This window comes from Homo sapiens, chromosome 17, assembly GCF_000001405.40.
Source record: "Homo sapiens chromosome 17, GRCh38.p14 Primary Assembly".
Lineage (NCBI taxonomy): Eukaryota > Metazoa > Chordata > Mammalia > Primates > Hominidae > Homo > Homo sapiens.
The window spans coordinates 73542072-73557577 of record NC_000017.11 but is presented as its reverse complement, the minus strand read 5'-3'; the positions used below and the strand labels follow the sequence as shown (position 1 = coordinate 73557577).

At 54.8% G+C, this 15506-nt stretch overlaps 1 protein-coding gene across 5 annotated transcripts in view, besides 3 other annotated features; it reads left to right on the top strand.

Annotated features, from left to right (window-relative positions):
• Positions 1 to 15506, top strand: part of SDK2 (sidekick cell adhesion molecule 2) — a 310062-nt gene that overhangs the window by 86868 nt on the left and 207688 nt on the right. The window lies entirely within an intron of this gene.
• Positions 8256 to 8756: an enhancer, noted in NCBI's record as "H3K4me1 hESC enhancer chr17:71544961-71545461 (GRCh37/hg19 assembly coordinates)". NCBI's record gives its function as "activates a minimal SCP1, AML or CMV promoter by ChIP-STARR-seq in naive H9 embryonic stem cells {active_cell/tissue: H9 hESC(naive)}" and the evidence as "EXISTENCE:reporter gene assay evidence [ECO:0000049][PMID:30033119]".
• Positions 8757 to 9257: an enhancer, noted in NCBI's record as "H3K4me1 hESC enhancer chr17:71544460-71544960 (GRCh37/hg19 assembly coordinates)". NCBI's record gives its function as "activates a minimal SCP1, AML or CMV promoter by ChIP-STARR-seq in naive H9 embryonic stem cells {active_cell/tissue: H9 hESC(naive)}" and the evidence as "EXISTENCE:reporter gene assay evidence [ECO:0000049][PMID:30033119]".
• Positions 10825 to 11361: an enhancer, noted in NCBI's record as "H3K4me1 hESC enhancer chr17:71542356-71542892 (GRCh37/hg19 assembly coordinates)". NCBI's record gives its function as "activates a minimal SCP1, AML or CMV promoter by ChIP-STARR-seq in primed H9 embryonic stem cells {active_cell/tissue: H9 hESC(primed)}" and the evidence as "EXISTENCE:reporter gene assay evidence [ECO:0000049][PMID:30033119]".

The window sequence follows — 15506 nt, the reverse complement described above, 5'->3', positions numbered from 1 at the left end:
TAATCCTAGCACTTTGGGAAGCTGAGGTAGGCAGACCACTTGAGGGCAGATGTTCAAGACCAGCCTGGCCAACATGGTGAAACTCCATCTCTAATAAAAATACAAAACTTAGCCAGATGTGGTGGTACACACCTGTAATCCCAGCTACTCAGGAGGCTGAGGCAGGAGAATTGCTTGAACCCAGGAGGTGGAGGTTGCAGTGAGCCGAGATCGTGCCACTGCACTCCAGCCTGGGCGACAGGCAAGACCCTGTCTCAAAAAAAAAAAAAAATCTCGAGGTACAGCAGCTCCTGCAAAGCCTTTGAGGTAAGCCTTGGCAAGGTCGAGCTTGTTCACTGGGGCAGCCACCATTTGTTGAGCGTGCGCTATGAACTGTGTCATTCCATGAGCTTCAGTTGAAACTTACTTCTTATGAGGAATGAGTTCTCATTATTCCCATTGTATAGATAAGGAGGCCAAAGCCCAGAGAAATTGATTTGCTCGGTTTTATACAGCCAGAATATTCTGGAGAATTCAAACCCACATAAGGCCAACCCCAGTGTCTGCACTTTCTAGCTGCTGCGTGGCCTTTGCCTAGCTTAGAAGAATGAAATTTGCTAAGGTTTGTTTCCAATCTCAGTAATCATAGCCCCATACTGTCAATCTGGTGCTAATTTCCTTGTGTGTTTAACTCACACAATCCTCACAAAGCCCCTGTGAGAGAGTTTCTATGATCATCATCACCCCCATTTTACAGAAGAGAAAACTGAGGCTTAGAAAATCCCCTCAAAAGCAATACAGGGCAGAGCTCAGATGTGAACCCAGGTGGTCTGGCTCCAGAATTTGTGCTGACAGCTGCCAGGTTAGACTTCCACCCAGGCAAGCTGAGTTATTAACATCTACTGAAGTCCTTTCAAAACCGGAAACAGGTTCCCAAAGGGGAACAAATGGTAACAACCATACAATAACAGCAATGCCAACAGCCGCATAAGAATTCAGCAAATATTTTTCCTAAAATGTGTGCTTAAAAGAAGAATCATGTGCAGGTCAAACGTGAATGCCTCTACCAAAAATGAGTCACGGTACATAAACATCTGACCATACACAGCCTCATGTCCAGTGAGCATCGCCCAGATGGGCTGCCCAGACATACCTGGCTCTTCGGAGGAAGCCAAGAGAGAGCCATTGTATTTCTTTCCCATCTGGATAAAGTGAGCTCTGTCTAATCAAAGAAAGTCGTCTTCCTTTATTAAACAACAACAACAATAAAAAAAACCCAAACTCCGAAGGTAAAAGCTTGCCGCTGGCTTCTTGGAATTATTTGTATTTAACTAAAGCTGTTAGCTGTTTTGCTCTGTTGATCTGTTTGTTTGGAAAGAACCTGCCGCTTCCCATCTTGGTGATCTGCCTCAGTGGCTGTGCCTCCATTCCCGATGTCTGGGGTCATTAAGAGGGAGAGGAATGGTCCCTGCATGTGTCGTTTCCTGGCAGTGACTTCCACTGAGTGCCATCACTTTGCCAACTGTCCACCCCAAGCCCAAGCCCCATGGACAGTGCCCCCATGTCTCCCAAAGCCCCTGCCTTTCCCTGGAAACCCCAGAAGCTCAAGCCCATCTGTGCATCCACTGCCTGTCTCCCTGCAGGGACCATCCACTGCTTCTGGCCAGCAAGGAGGGCTGACTCCCTGGTCCCCCCTGACTCTCTGTGTCTTTCCCAGGAGCAAGGTTTCAAGCCGCCAAACCTCCCCAGGTGTTTGGAGTCTGCAGCATTTCAGTCCCGTGTTTGCTTTTTATGAAAGAGAAGTGATCCCCTCTGCAGAATATTAAGTGGCTCCGGCAGCTTTGGGAAGCAGAGCTGCTAATCCGCCGACATCTGCTGCTTATGTGGTCTTGGCGCCTGGCAGCCCCTCACTTCCTCTACCCCCACCTGGGCCCTTCCTCATCTTCCCAGTTGAGCTCCGGGACATTGAGGCAGAGAGGGAGATGATAGGGGATTCAGGCTAATCCACCATTCTTGCCTGATGGCAGGGACTGGAATAGTGACCTCCAAGTCCCCTCTGAGGCCCAGGGGCAGAGAGGCCTGACCACAGTGAGCAACCTTGGGCCAGCCCCTTCCTTTCCTGGGCCTCAGCATCCTCAGTACATAGAGACGAGGATGAGCTGCGCGGAGTCCAAGGTCCAGTGCACCGCTCCCAATGGCGCCTCCCCCAGGCCAGGAATACTCCCATTCACATGCCACACCTTTGCATGAGCTGTTCTCCCCACTGGAGATGAGCTCCCCCTGCCCTCAACCAGTCCAAGTCCTGCCAGCCTTCAAGGCCAGTTCCAGACTCAAGCCCTCCATGAGGCCCTCGCTGGCTCATCTGTATAGACAGCACTCCTGTTACTCCTGCTCTCTCTGGTTACCATCCTCTCCTCTGCTCAATTCATAGCCTCCCAGGGCAAGACCAAGTGCCCATAGCCCAGCTCGGGGCTGCATATGCAGCTAGACAATGCAAGCTCTAGGGTTCACCAGGGCTGGAGATGGGGATTGGCGCTGTCAGAGGGCCAACCCAGAACAAAGCTCCCCCATCCTCCTTCCTCCCAGCCTGGTCCCCAGCCAGTCTGGGCACCAAGGCCCTGCCTGAGCTCAGAGCACCTCGAGGGCTCCTGAAGATGGAAGAGACTCAGGTCTTGGCAGGAGGAAACTCACAGAGTTTTGATCCTGTAATAAAACCCAAATATGGGTTTGTAACATTTACAGAACAACCCATAAATAAGTGTAAATCAATACTCTACAAAGGATGCCCAAGAGCTCCACAGCACAGCTGGCTTCCTGGAGAAGGTGGACTTTGAGCCAGGACTTGACATACAGAGCTCACACTTGCAGAGATAGAGGAGGATGCATTCCAGGGAAGGAAAGAGATTTGCACAGAAGTGTGTATTAGTTTCCTACAGTTGCTGTAACAAATACCAGACTAGCTGGCTGAAATGATGGAAATTCATTTTCTCACAATTCTAGAGACCAGAAGTCCAAGACCAAGGTGTTATGGGGGTTGTTTTCTTCTGTGGGCCATGAGGGAAGGCTCTGTCCTTGGCATGTAGATGGCCATCTTCTCCCTGTGTCTTCACATGTTCTTCCTCCATATGAGCCTGTGCCCTCACCTCCTCTGCTTATAAGGACTTCAGCCACATGGGATTAGGGCCCACCCCAATGGCTTCATTTAACCTTAGTTACCTCTGTAAAGATCCTATCTCCAAATTTAGTTGCATTCTGAGGTACCGTGGCTTAGGACTTCAACAGATGAATTTTGGGGGCAGGAAGTTTGGCTCATAACAGTGTGGAAGTGGTTCTGCTTCATCTAGGTGCCTTTACATAATGGATTGATGAGCTGCCCCTGTGTGCCTGGCATTGCGCAAAGCACTGGGCTTCCAAAGGGGAGGATGACTTGCCCCCTGTCCTCATCAGGGGGCCTCCTGGAAGAAGTAGAAGACCTGAAAGGGGGCAGAGACCATGGGTTGATGAGGACAAGGGATCTGCTCCAGGGTTAGGAATAGGTGGTCCCAGCTCCCCCTGGAGGACATAAAACCCCTCTCCCTGTGAGCCTCAGGGCCCCAGCTCCCCTAGTAACCCTCCCTCCATGCTCCTGTCCTCTCCTCAATGGGAAGAAGCCAGGGCTTCAGGGGGATGTGTTGGGGCTGCTAGGTATCTCCCCTTGAAGAGGTCTTCTGCAGGCCAGATTTATACCTAGGGAGGGAGTAGGGAAACCACCACTCCTGCATCCAATCTTATGCCCAAAAAGCCTGAAGGGAATCTGAGGCTCAGGCTGGAGCTGGTCATGCCCCCTCTGCCAGCACCTCCTCAGGAAGGGGGTGACTGGCATCCCTGGGTGAAGGCTATGCTGTAACAAGGGTGGGGGTTTGGGGGTGGTGCTATTCACCTGCAGGAGGTGTAGGCCCGAGGAAGGAGATTGCAGGTGGGATGGAGGCTGTGGCCAGGTAGTGGCTCAGGGGTGACCCTGGGCCTCAAACCTCTCTGTCCCCCCCTGTCCTTCCTTGTGCTATCCTGGCTTCTGAGAGGGCAGCTCCCTGCAGGAAACACCATCATAGGAATAGGTGCAGCCGGCAGGGCTTGGGGGTGACTCACCACTGGGCTGCTCACTGGCCCAGTGACTTTGGGCAGGACTTGTTTGATCTCTTGAGGCCTCAGTTTTGTCATCTTTACCAAGGGGATAATAACATCCACCTTCCAGGGTCACTATGGAGACCCTGGTATTAAATAGGCAGTAAGTCCTGGCTCAAAGCCCTTGACAGTGAGAATGGTCTATCAATATCAATTTCCCTACTGGAGGCAGCCTTGGGCTCCCACCACTGGCCCCCCGTGGCCTGTCCTGCCCCATCTCTGCCTCTTGCCTCTGATGGTATTCAGAACACACACACACCCCAGAAGGTGCTTCCATGCTCAAGGCCACCTCCATGCCCAGAGTGGGGCCAAGAGCTCCCTCTGGCCCTTCCCTCCCAGCCCCCACAGAAGCCTCTGCCTTTGCATTCATCCATCCAGAGAAGCAGCGTGACGCTGCAGCCGTCTGCCCTACCTGGGAGCTGCAGCCAATCCCAAAGGGTTGGGATTAGGGTGCTCGAGGAACCCAGAACCCAAACGGGTCTGAGCCTCTCCTCTACGGCTCCTCTCCAAACAGTTCATCCCATCTCTGAGCGCCAGCCAGAGGCTCAGGGCAAGGGCTCTCGAGTTGAGAACTTGCCAAGGAGAGGGCTTAGAGTGCAGTGTAAACGAAGCCAGAGCGAGAAGTGCAAATGAGTTGGTTCAAAGATGAAGTCGCTTAGGGAACTTCGTCTGGGAAGCAGCCTACAGCGGGGTCCATTGGCAGGGTAGTAGCACCGTCCTCAAGCTCTGCAGTCAGCCTGGCCGGGCTCAAATCCTGTTCCCCCGTATCCTGCCAAGTGACTTAACCCATTTATGCCTCAGTTTCTCATAGCTCAAGTGGGCGTGATGCTCGTACGTACTTCTTGAGTGCCGAGAAGCTAATCTAAGTGGCTCATGATGGGTACTCCGGCCGAGTACACTCAGACCTGCGCCTCGACCACTGACCGCTCGGCCATCAGCTGGCAATGTGGACGGCCACCCCCTCAGGAGGGTCCCCTGCGCCACTCCAGTTTCAATGCGTGACACAGATGTCATGCGTCCTCGCCAAGCTGCCTTAACATGAGGGGGTTCTATCTCAAATATGTTTCACAAATGAATAATAAAAACAAAGGAAAATTACCCTCTTTATTGAAACTCATTTTATGAATAAGACAATTATTCTGGTAATTGAAAAAATGTGTCGTTAAATTAAATGCAGTGGTTCCTATTAAAATTTTAGTGCGTTTCTGCTGCTGCCGGCTAGAGGCTGGTAATTATAGACGAGAGTTTCGCTTTCTCTTTATTGTTTTTTAATCTCTCTGTGCTGTGGCTCTCCGACAATATTTTATGTCAGAGAGATTTAGAGCTGGGCCCCAGACAGGGGGGACAGGCTGGCCGAGGGGTGGGGGGCAGGCGGTGGGGACTGCAGCGGCACCTGCCTGACTCTAGGTTGCCTTGCCACCCTGGCTGTCCCACAGTCTTGGTTGGTCTCTTCACCCATCTATCAGTCTGGTGGCAGCCAATCACAGCCCCCTGAATCTAGTGCCCTCTCCTCTCTGACCCTCTTTTTACTCAAAAGGGGTTGGAGACAGAAGGGAAGCCTGGAGTTGGGTCTCCAGATGGACTGGGTCTCAGCTTCCTCTTGGAAGCTGAGTTTGGAAAGCAGCGGGGTGGGGTGGTCTGAAGGTCCCCCTGCCCTTAGGGGGACAACTAGGGAAGGTTGCAGAAGCTCTGCGTGTGTAAGCACCGTGAGGGCAGGGACCAGGCCTGTCTTGCTCGCTATGGCATCCACAGCGTCCATAGCAAACAGTGTGTTGGAGGCTTTTAATCCATGTTAAGGAAGGAGGGGAGGGAAGGAGAAAGGAACAGCTGTATTAGAGCCTGCTTGGTCCAGGAGGGGTTAGGTTGAGAAAAAGGTGGAAGAATGGCCTAGAGAAACTTGGGGTATCCTTTCCAAGTCACCCCTGACACCAGAGATGGAAGGAGGGAGAAAACCGAAGGCCTCGGCCGCTCCGCCCCCTCCCCATTCCTGGCAGGAGCTGCGAGGCTCCTGGGCTCACTTAGACCGTCAGTGACTCCCGGCAACATGTTATATGTCTCTGGCCCAGGCCGCGTTTCTGTTCTTTGTCTGGGAGATTAAGCTCCTGGTGGGCAAGGTCTCTGGCCATGCAACGTGCCACGGGGAGCTTGATGAATCGGGCTGGGGTGGGAGCGTGTGGGCATTTATCACGAAGGCACCAGAAGCTGATGGGGAGCCGGCCGCCATCACCCAACAGTGTGGGAGGGAAGACAAGGTGCGCGTGGAGTCCCCGGCTAGCGTGCTTTGTGGCTTCAGGCTACCACCTCGACCCACTGTGTCCTTCGTGGGCTGTGACCTCTCAGGTCCTTTCCTTGTCCTGCCTCTGCTCTGTCCTGTATCACAGGTGGCTGTCTTCCTGGCTTCCCAGGCTCCCCGGTCAGCTGGCTTCAGGTTAGGCTTGGCCAGTGGGAAGCACTGACAGGAGACAGGAGGTAGGCAAGGGAGAGAAGCTGGGGTCTCTCCCTTCCCTCCTGCCTCCACTGGCTTCCATGAGCAGCTGCGTTTGGCTCATGACTCCAGCTCCCTGTGGACGGGTGACTCGCCCTGGGATCCAGCAACCTCACTTCCTCCCTGGACCCCTCCGGCCTAGGGATGGTAGAGGCCTCTTGTGTCACCGATCTCTGGGTTACCTCACTGTCCCCCGCTGGGCTTCTCGCTGATTATCACCTGCAACCAGTTCCCTGTAGCAAATTCCTTCTGTGCGAGTATAGCCAGTAGTTTCTGCTTTCTTGAGTGGACTCTGACTCCATGCCAGCCTCCTTAACATCCCAGGAAGAGACGTGTGGCAGGAAGCTGCAGGGTAGGGGTGGGGGAATGGGAGACGGTCAAAAGCTCTGTGGCTTCCTTGGGTCCCTCCTGCCCTTCCACCGCCACCCTGACTCCCCCGCCACCCAGGGTCTCTGTGTCGTGGCCCTCCACCTTTCCAAACAAGTGGCTGCTCATGTCCAGCCCATTCTAATTATCCTTTGGTGCTACTTCATCCACCCCAGGACAGCTTCTCATTTTGGCAGTAATTGAGCTATTTTCCCAGCGGGACAAAGGGCTAGCAGGTTAGGGGTCCCTTCCTGGGGACGTAGCATTAAGCAGCATATATTTCAGAACCGTTAACCCTAGAGCAGAGTCGCTAGGAGGCCGGGGAGAACCAGAGGCTCCTACCTTGGCAGTCTGCCACCTCCCTGACCCCTGGCCCCCTGCTGCAGCAGGCTTAGAACTCCATCAAGCATATTTCCAAGCCAGGCCAGCTCAACCTGACCTGGAAACAGTCAGGAGCACTAGACCTGCCATGCAGGAAAGGGGCAGGTAGGGAGGGGGCCTGGCTGGTGCAACCAGAGGGAGAAACCCGGGGCTCAGTGCCCCCGGGACACAGTGCAGAGCAGCGGGAGGGGTGCATTAGTGTCTTGCATGCATCTGCCTCTATGCACCCCCGGCGGTCCTCACCCACAGTCTCATTCCAGATTCTGGTCACCACCACCCCTCCACCTGGTTATGACCAGGTCCCACTTGGCGTTCCCCACTACGTTGCAGCCAGAGTGATCTTTCTGTTACAGAAATCTGATCTGTTGCTGCTGAAACCCTTCAGTGCCTCTCATCATGCCACCTCGCTCACATCTTGAGCCCCGCTCTCACCCCTCTCCTTGTCTCTGCCCCCCATCCCCTCTCCCACACACTGTGGCTGATGGGACCTGCCGCATTCTGTCTGACCGGGTTGCTGTTTGTGTGTTCACCTCGCCTAAAACTTGCCCCCATCTCTGCTTGGCTGACTCCCATCCATCCTTCAGGGCTTGACTTAGACACTCCCTCTTCCGGGAAGCCTTCCCTGACCCATCCAGCCCCATCTACTTCCCCCATAGCATGACACCTTACCAAGACTTCCTCTTCAGTTGGTCTATGAGCAACTTGAGGGCAAGGGCTGAATCTTTGTTTGCGATTCCCAGCACATGCCAGGTGCTCCAGGAATGGTTTTTGGGTGAATGGATGACGGATCAAATCACTTAACTGAAAATTAATTAATCAGGTACAAGCTAAAGGGCAAAGAGTACCTGCAGAGCTTTGAGTCATGAGGAAGTGATGGGAAGCTTTCTTCAACAGTGAGCAGCCCAGGTGGCTGGCAGCTGCTCAACAATCAAGGAGGGCTGCCAGGAGGAGGCAATTGCCTCCTCTCTTCCCACTCCTCTCTCCTTCTACTCCTCCCTGCTCCTCACTCCGGCTTCTCTGCCTGCCTAAGAGCTTTCTCATGAATGAAAATTGCTGCTTGCTACGTTTTTCCTTCGCAGGGAAATTGTTCCTTTATCAGCCAGCAACAGGGCCAGGGTGGGGGCTGCTGGTGCCCAGCACCTCGGCCAACAACGGGAAGGCTGATGGCGTCATTTGGACAGGAGTCCTTGACGTGTCTCTTCAGGAGGCAGCCGGGGTTGTCATTGAGACTCTGAGTGGTGCTGAGAAGGAGAGAGCTGACAGCTTCAGCGGCTGGCATGGATGACGCATCTTGGGGTGTCTGAGAGAGTAACTGGGGCCAGAAGGAGGCTGGGCTGGGCCCCAGGGAAGCCACCTTCCAGCTGCCCTCCGTGGGATAGCAGCAAGCTTAAGTGTGCAGGCCCAAGGCCCCCCACCATGCAGAGCCTGGTTGGTGAGAGAGAAGCCTGATTTCCTCCCCCTCTACTTCCCCCAGACAGTGTGCAAGGACTGGGCAGTGCCCAAGGTCATTTCCTCCCCAGGGAGGAGACAGGCTATCCAGGGCCTCCTGGGAGCAGGGCACACTGCCCTCTGGGCATCAAAAGCTAGGCCACTGGGAACCCCAGCAAGCTTGGTCTGCAGAGGAAGCCCAGTGCTCCCAGCTTCTGTGCCAGTTGGACCTTGGCATCGGTTTCTGTGTCCCACAAATGGGATCAGGATTATCTGTCCCCCACCCCAGGAGGAATAATCATCCTGTGCCTAGGAAGCTGCAGGGGGAGCTTAGAGAGCAGCAGGAAAGCAGGGTTTGATGCTGTGTGGACAGGAGGACCCACTCGGGGGCAGGGGGGATAGGGAAGAGGGTTTCTGGAGGCACAGGTCGCACCACCAGCTGGGTGACAGAATCCTCTCTCTCCCAACAGCTGCAGCACTAGAATTCTCCAAGCTGCAGGGCAGCAGAAAGGGCATGTGTCCCAAGATTGAATGCCACCACTGCCACTTCCTAGCCCCGTGACATTAGCGTGTGACTTAACCTCTCAACCTCAGTTTCCTCAATCTGTAAATTGGGCCATTGATAGGGTTTGGCTCTGTGTCCTCACTTAAATCTCATGTGGAATTGTAATCCCCACGTGTTAAAGGTGGGGGGCCTGGTGGGAGGTGATTGGATCACGCCGTTCTCGTAATAGTGAGTTCTCACAAGATCTGAAGATTTAAAAGTGTGTGGCACTTCCCCATCTCTCTCTCTCCTGCTCTGCCATGGTAAGACATGCTTGCTTCTTCCCCTTTGCCTTCTGCCATGATTGTAAGTTTCCTGAGGCCTCGCAGCCATGCTTCCTAGTAAGCCTGCGGAACTGTGAGTCAATTAAACCTCTTTTCTTTGTAAATTACCCAGTCTCAGGTAGTTCTTTATAGCATTATGAGAATGGACTAACACAGCCATTAAGAACACTTCAGCAGATCTGATCAAATGAGATCAAAAATCTAAAAAGCATCCAGCACAGCCCCGGACCCCCTGAACTGCTCAAAACAGACTTTTTCCTTTGCCCTCCCTCCCTTCTGACCAAGAGCTTGAAGGAGACCATTGAGGACCTTCTGAACATCTTCATGGTGTCTCTACCCTATCTGGGGTGGTACAGACAGGCCCTATTGGGAGGTGGGGAATGGGACACAGGACTTGCTGAGCCTCCGCTGTCCCCATCCCCCGATCTGTACCCTTCGGTGGCTTCCTTGCTGCAGACCAGCCCTATTGAGCTGGCAACGTACATGCAGCACAGAGAGGTTCGTCCTGTCCCTGGGCACAGTGGTTGGTCTAGCTTCAGAGCCTTTTACCCAATCCAAGCCCAAAGCCTCCGTGTCTTCAGTAAATCAAAGGCTGCAGGTCACTCATCCCTATTCATAAAATCACAGAAGCAATAAACGAATAACAGCATGGAAGGACCTTTAGGCTCCCCTCTCCCATCCCCTGAGTTGCAGATGAGGAAGTTGAGCCCTAGAGACCTGCCTGCCCTGCAGAGGGGGCGTGGCTTAGAGCCTTGCAACATGCCTAGGCCTGGAGGGCGTGGACTCTGTGAGACACTGACTATATCACTTGCAGCTGTGTCCAAAAGAGGAGACTTGGCTAAAGCCAGACCAGATGCCCTAGGCAGGGCAGGCTAGGACCAACCACCCTGACTCAGGGGGATGCATACAGAGGAGGGAGGGAAGCACCTGGATCAGTGCCTGGCTCCAGAGTCAAGTCCGGCTTTCCCAGTGTCACGGCAGGACAGCACAAGGACGTGGCTAAGAGTGCAGACTGGGGGTTCCAGGGAATCTGAGTTTGCATCCCAGCTCTGCACCTGTCTGTACCATCCCTGCACCTCTCTGAGCCGTCCTGTTCTCAAGACCCTGATAACTTGAGTGGTTGGGCATTTGAAAAATCAGTCTGCTTATTCTGAAATGTACCTTCCCCAACAGATCATAGATCTTGCCATGTCAGAACTGAAAGGGACTTATGGGTCACCTGGCCAGGTCACTCCACAGACCCACAAGGGCCCCAAGACCCAGAGACAGGAAGCGAGGTCTCCCCACCACCATGCCAGGGGTCTCTGAGCCACACCTGCTGCCCAGTCCAGGCCATGGCCCCAGGCAGGCCTGAGAGGGACCTTGCCCAGACACCTTGCTCCCTCTGGTCAGCCAGAGAGGAGGCAGTGTGGCCTGTGTGGTGACTGGGCTGCAGTGTGGCCTGCCTAGTGACTGGGGGTGGGGGCCCTTCCCTTCTCTGGCCAAGGCTGTTCCACATTCTCCTGCTTTCTCTGCCCTGCCTGCGGCTCCCTCCTCTTTAAGCGAGCCCCGTGCTGTGGCAGAAGCTGCTGGCCCAGGTATCATTTCAGAGCAAAAGTGCCTATTAAACCACCACTGGCCGCCAGGCCCGTCAAGTCCCGGGAGCCATGTTCACAGACGTGTCAGCTAATGAACTAATTGATTCTTTCCTCCTCCGCCTGCATCCGCCTGCACAGGAGAGAGGGCAGGTCTGAACTCTGCCTCCGCCTGCCCTGGCACCTTCAGGGAGGGGAGAAAGGCGGAGGGGGCAGCTGGGGTGGGTCCAGGCTTCCCATCTCTCTCTCTGCCTCTCCTCACCCCCCGCCCCCGACAGCACTCCTTCCCCCAACACTTTCCTGAAAAGCCTTTCTGGTGTCTTTTCCCCAGCCCCTCCCCAGTCCCATCTTTTGAGCCCTGGGGTCTGAGTCTATGTAGGGATTGGCCTCATCTGAGTCCCGGGTTGCACAAGCCTCCTTGCTCTACAGCCTACCTGTTCCACACCCTGGCCACCTCCTAACTTGTCTGATCCAACCCAGTCCTGAGAGGCAGAGGAGGAACTGACCCCAGCCGCCTCAGAGACCCTCTCCCAGGCCCCAGGCACACTGTGAGGTTGGTGGAAGAATGAGACCAGAACCAGTCCTGGACAGACAGGCGGGGCATCCCAGGGCAGCCTTGCAGCGCTGGGTCACCCTCCTGAGAGTAGCTGATGGTTGTATCATCCAGCTCAGTGGGGTCTTCAATTAATTGGCCTTAATCTGGTTGGAGGAGCAGCTGGAAATGGCGGTGCTGTCCCCCAACCTCCCAGTGTGATGTTTGTGATCCGCCTTCTGAGGCCCCAGGCAGTGGTGGGTGGGGATGGGGACTCCTCTGTTTCCGGTCCCTTTGCCTGCTTGCGGCAGGGCATGTTTAGCTCAAACGCACCCCTTCTCTCCCTTCCCTTGTTCTTGCACATTTCCCCTCAACCCCCTCATCTCTAACCCCTACCACCGGTGTCTCTCAAGTAGCTCGTGTGTGTGTGCATTCATTTATTTAGGAAGAAAGTCTCACTGAGGTGGCGACACAATCACTCTCCACAGGGTCCCCCTCCTGCCATGGGACCCGAACCACATACAGTAGGGGTGGGTCAGAAGCAGGGCGGCAGGCTCGGCAGCTGGGGAAGAAGCAGGGCGGGGTTGAGCGAGTCCAGCAGGGGCAAGCTCCCTGCAGTTCACTCCCTAAAGGAAGGGATTTCCAGGGGAGGGGAACCCCAACAAGATACAGAGGCCACAGCCCCCAAGGTGGCCTTCTTCCTTGAGCCTCCACTTTGTGTGTGTGTGTGTGTGTGTGTGTGTGCGTGCACGTGCACGCAATGAGAATGCTTTATTAGGCAAAACCACATACTATGAAAATCTTTAAAATGCAACAGGAGGGGGCCCAAGGAAGAAGGAGTGGAGGCCCAAGGAAGAAAGAGCCTTGACAAGGGGGTGTGCTTGGGAGGCCTGTCTCTGCAGAAGACAGGTCCAGGGAATGGTTGAGGTCCCAGTGACCTGAGATCTGTAATTCACTCCTGATGGTGAAGGACCTGCCGCCCCAGCAGCCTGGATGAACAGCAGGTCCTGGCATGGGTGCTGCACACCCGAGCTCTGACCCCTGCTGCTCCCTTGTTCCCCTCAAAAGTGTCATGGAAGCCATTTCCCCTCCATGATCTGTTTCCTCCCTGTGAAATGAAGAGGTTAAGTTAGATGCTTTCTGAGGTGATTCTTGACATGATGCGACTTGAATCTGGGACTGCTAGGTATCTCAACCATCCATCCACTATCCATCCATCCATCCATTATCCATCTGTCCATGTATCCATTCTGTCCATCCATACACACATGCATACATACACATATTCATCCATCCATCTGTTTATCCATCTATTCATCTGTCCGTTTGTCTTTCCTTCTTTCCATCCATCCATCCACTCCTCCATCCAATAAGTGGAGTATCTTCTTTCTGCCAGATCCCATTGCAGACTTTGACGGTGACACAAAGATCAATGTGCCAGGCAAGTCCCTGTCCTCACGGAGCTCAGTGCGGGTGGGGAGACAGGCAAGGGAATGGCAGTGATGATGCTGTGAAGAGGAGGAACTATGAGAACAACATGGCAGACCCCAGCCCATCCACTGGGGAGTCCAGGAAGGTTTCCTGAAGGAAGTCACTGAAGCTGCAACCTGAGGATGACAGGGCCAGGCCAGCTTCACAGTTTGTTGTGGGAGTTTAAGTGAGTCCCTCGAAGGCAAAGGATGTGGAAAGCCTCTTTGTACATACAGGGGACCGTCATTATGGGATAAACCTTTAGCATCTCCTTGCCTCCAGGTGCCCTGACTTTTGGCCACGTGAAACTATCTCCTGTGTCCCAAACATGCTGTGCTCACGTTACCTCATTTCCACTCATCTTCAAGACCATGCTGAAGGGTGACTTTGTCTGTGGAGCTCTCCTGGTGTCCCCTAGATGTCCCTCTGCCTGCAGTTTCAGAGCACTTGCATCTCTCTCTGAGTGACTGCCTCTTCCCCGTGATGAGTGTCTGGGACCCATGGGTGGCCTCACCCAGGAGGCACTCAGTTCACACTTGTAGAGCGGCATCACCCAGGGACAGAAGCTGCCTCTCCCCCTGCACCTTGGGATTCCTGGAGGGCGGGCCTGGCCCTTGTGCCTCTCCTAGTTGGAAGCTGGTCAGGCTGGACTCTGGAAGAGGGTGGGAGGCTGGCCTGCCCCTATCCCCCAAGGGCAGTGCCCATGCACCAACCTGGGCCAGTGGCTCTTCTTGGGCTCAGACTCACGGCCACATCTGCATCAAGGTGCACTTGCCCAGCCCACATCCCTTGTGTTAATAACTCCTGTGTCGATTGCCGGAAGAGTCTGGGGAAGGTGATATTTTCCTCTGAAGAGTGGTTCTCTGTCTGGTGGGAGGAGGAAGCAATCATTGGGCTGTCGCTTACATAGACTCTGCATCTGCACATGGAGGAATAGGGATGGGCTGTGCCACACACCTGTCCTCAGAGTGGGGAATCTTTTCCCAGGGGATATGAGCGGCATGGCACCTGCCCTGGTGTGCCTTCTTTGAGGACATCGGAAGGACAGCCCCACACACACCACACCTGCGAGGGTGCGGGCACCATCACTGCCTCAACCCCAGGGAGGGCAGGCCATCCCACTCCAGCCTCTCCTCCTCCTCCCCTCCCCAGCCCTTCTGGAGTCCTCACATCCTGGATGAGAGGGCAGGGAGCTGAGTGCCCCCAGTAAATGGAAGGCTGCCGGTCACTCATCCCTATTCATAAAATCCCAGAAGCAATGAACAAATGACAGCTGGGAAAGACCTTCAGATTCCCCTCTCCCATCCCCTCTTTTGCAGATGAGGAAACTGCGCCCTGGAGGGGACCTGCCTATGCTGCAGAGGGGGCGTGGCCTAGAACTTGTGTGGCCCCCATCCCAGGACTCACACCAATCTCCCCAGATCCGAGTCTCGCTCTCCAGGGCCTAGGGGAGGGTGTCTTATGAATGTCCTCACTTCTGGGTGCTTGTGGGACTGCAGTCATTTCCGGGAATCTCCTGCCCTTTCCGGACTTTGGCACCTAATTTTATATTTGATATTTTGTGTTCTTAAAGAGGGCCACCAAATGGCATGAATTTCAGGCCTGTTGCAGGCCCAGGGAGGGAGACCAAGTGTCCTCGGTTCCCAGCCTGGCCCTGCTAGAGGCCCCGAATCCCAAGACCCCTCCACTACTGCCTCTCCGTGGCTGGCCCTTCCCCTGGGTCCTCCCTCTCCCCTTGCTGCCTCATAATCCTGCCCTGCCTCCACCCCTCCTCGTTGAGGGGACGGAGGCCCAGCCTGCCCAGCAGGGCACAGCTCACGGAGGGCCACTGTGCTGCTTACCAGGCCCGGCTGCTCATTGAGAGCCCTGTGCTGCTCACCACCAGGCCCTGGCTGGAGTTCGCTTGTGGCAGGTTTCCCTCATTCCTGCTGAGCTGTTTCACCAGCCCCCTCCACCAACAGGCACCCAGGAGGCCAAGCCAGGGTCGCTCCAGGCACGTACAGATGGGAGGACCCCTGCTCTCTCTTGTAGCACCCCCTCCATCACAGGAGCAGCCATCCCCACCAGAAGCTGCCCCTGCTGCTGTCAGGCAAGTCACAACCTCAGTTTTGTTCTCCCAGCCATGCTGGTCCCTGGGAACCCACCTCAGAAGGCACCAGGGATGGGAAGCGTGGAGGGTCAGACAGAGAGGCACAGCCCCCAGAGAGGGACTTGGGGCCAGCGCACTGCCTGCACTGTGATGAGATGGGCCAGTCCCAGGTACTTTAGACATCCCTGGAAGCAGACAATCCAAAAATACAAC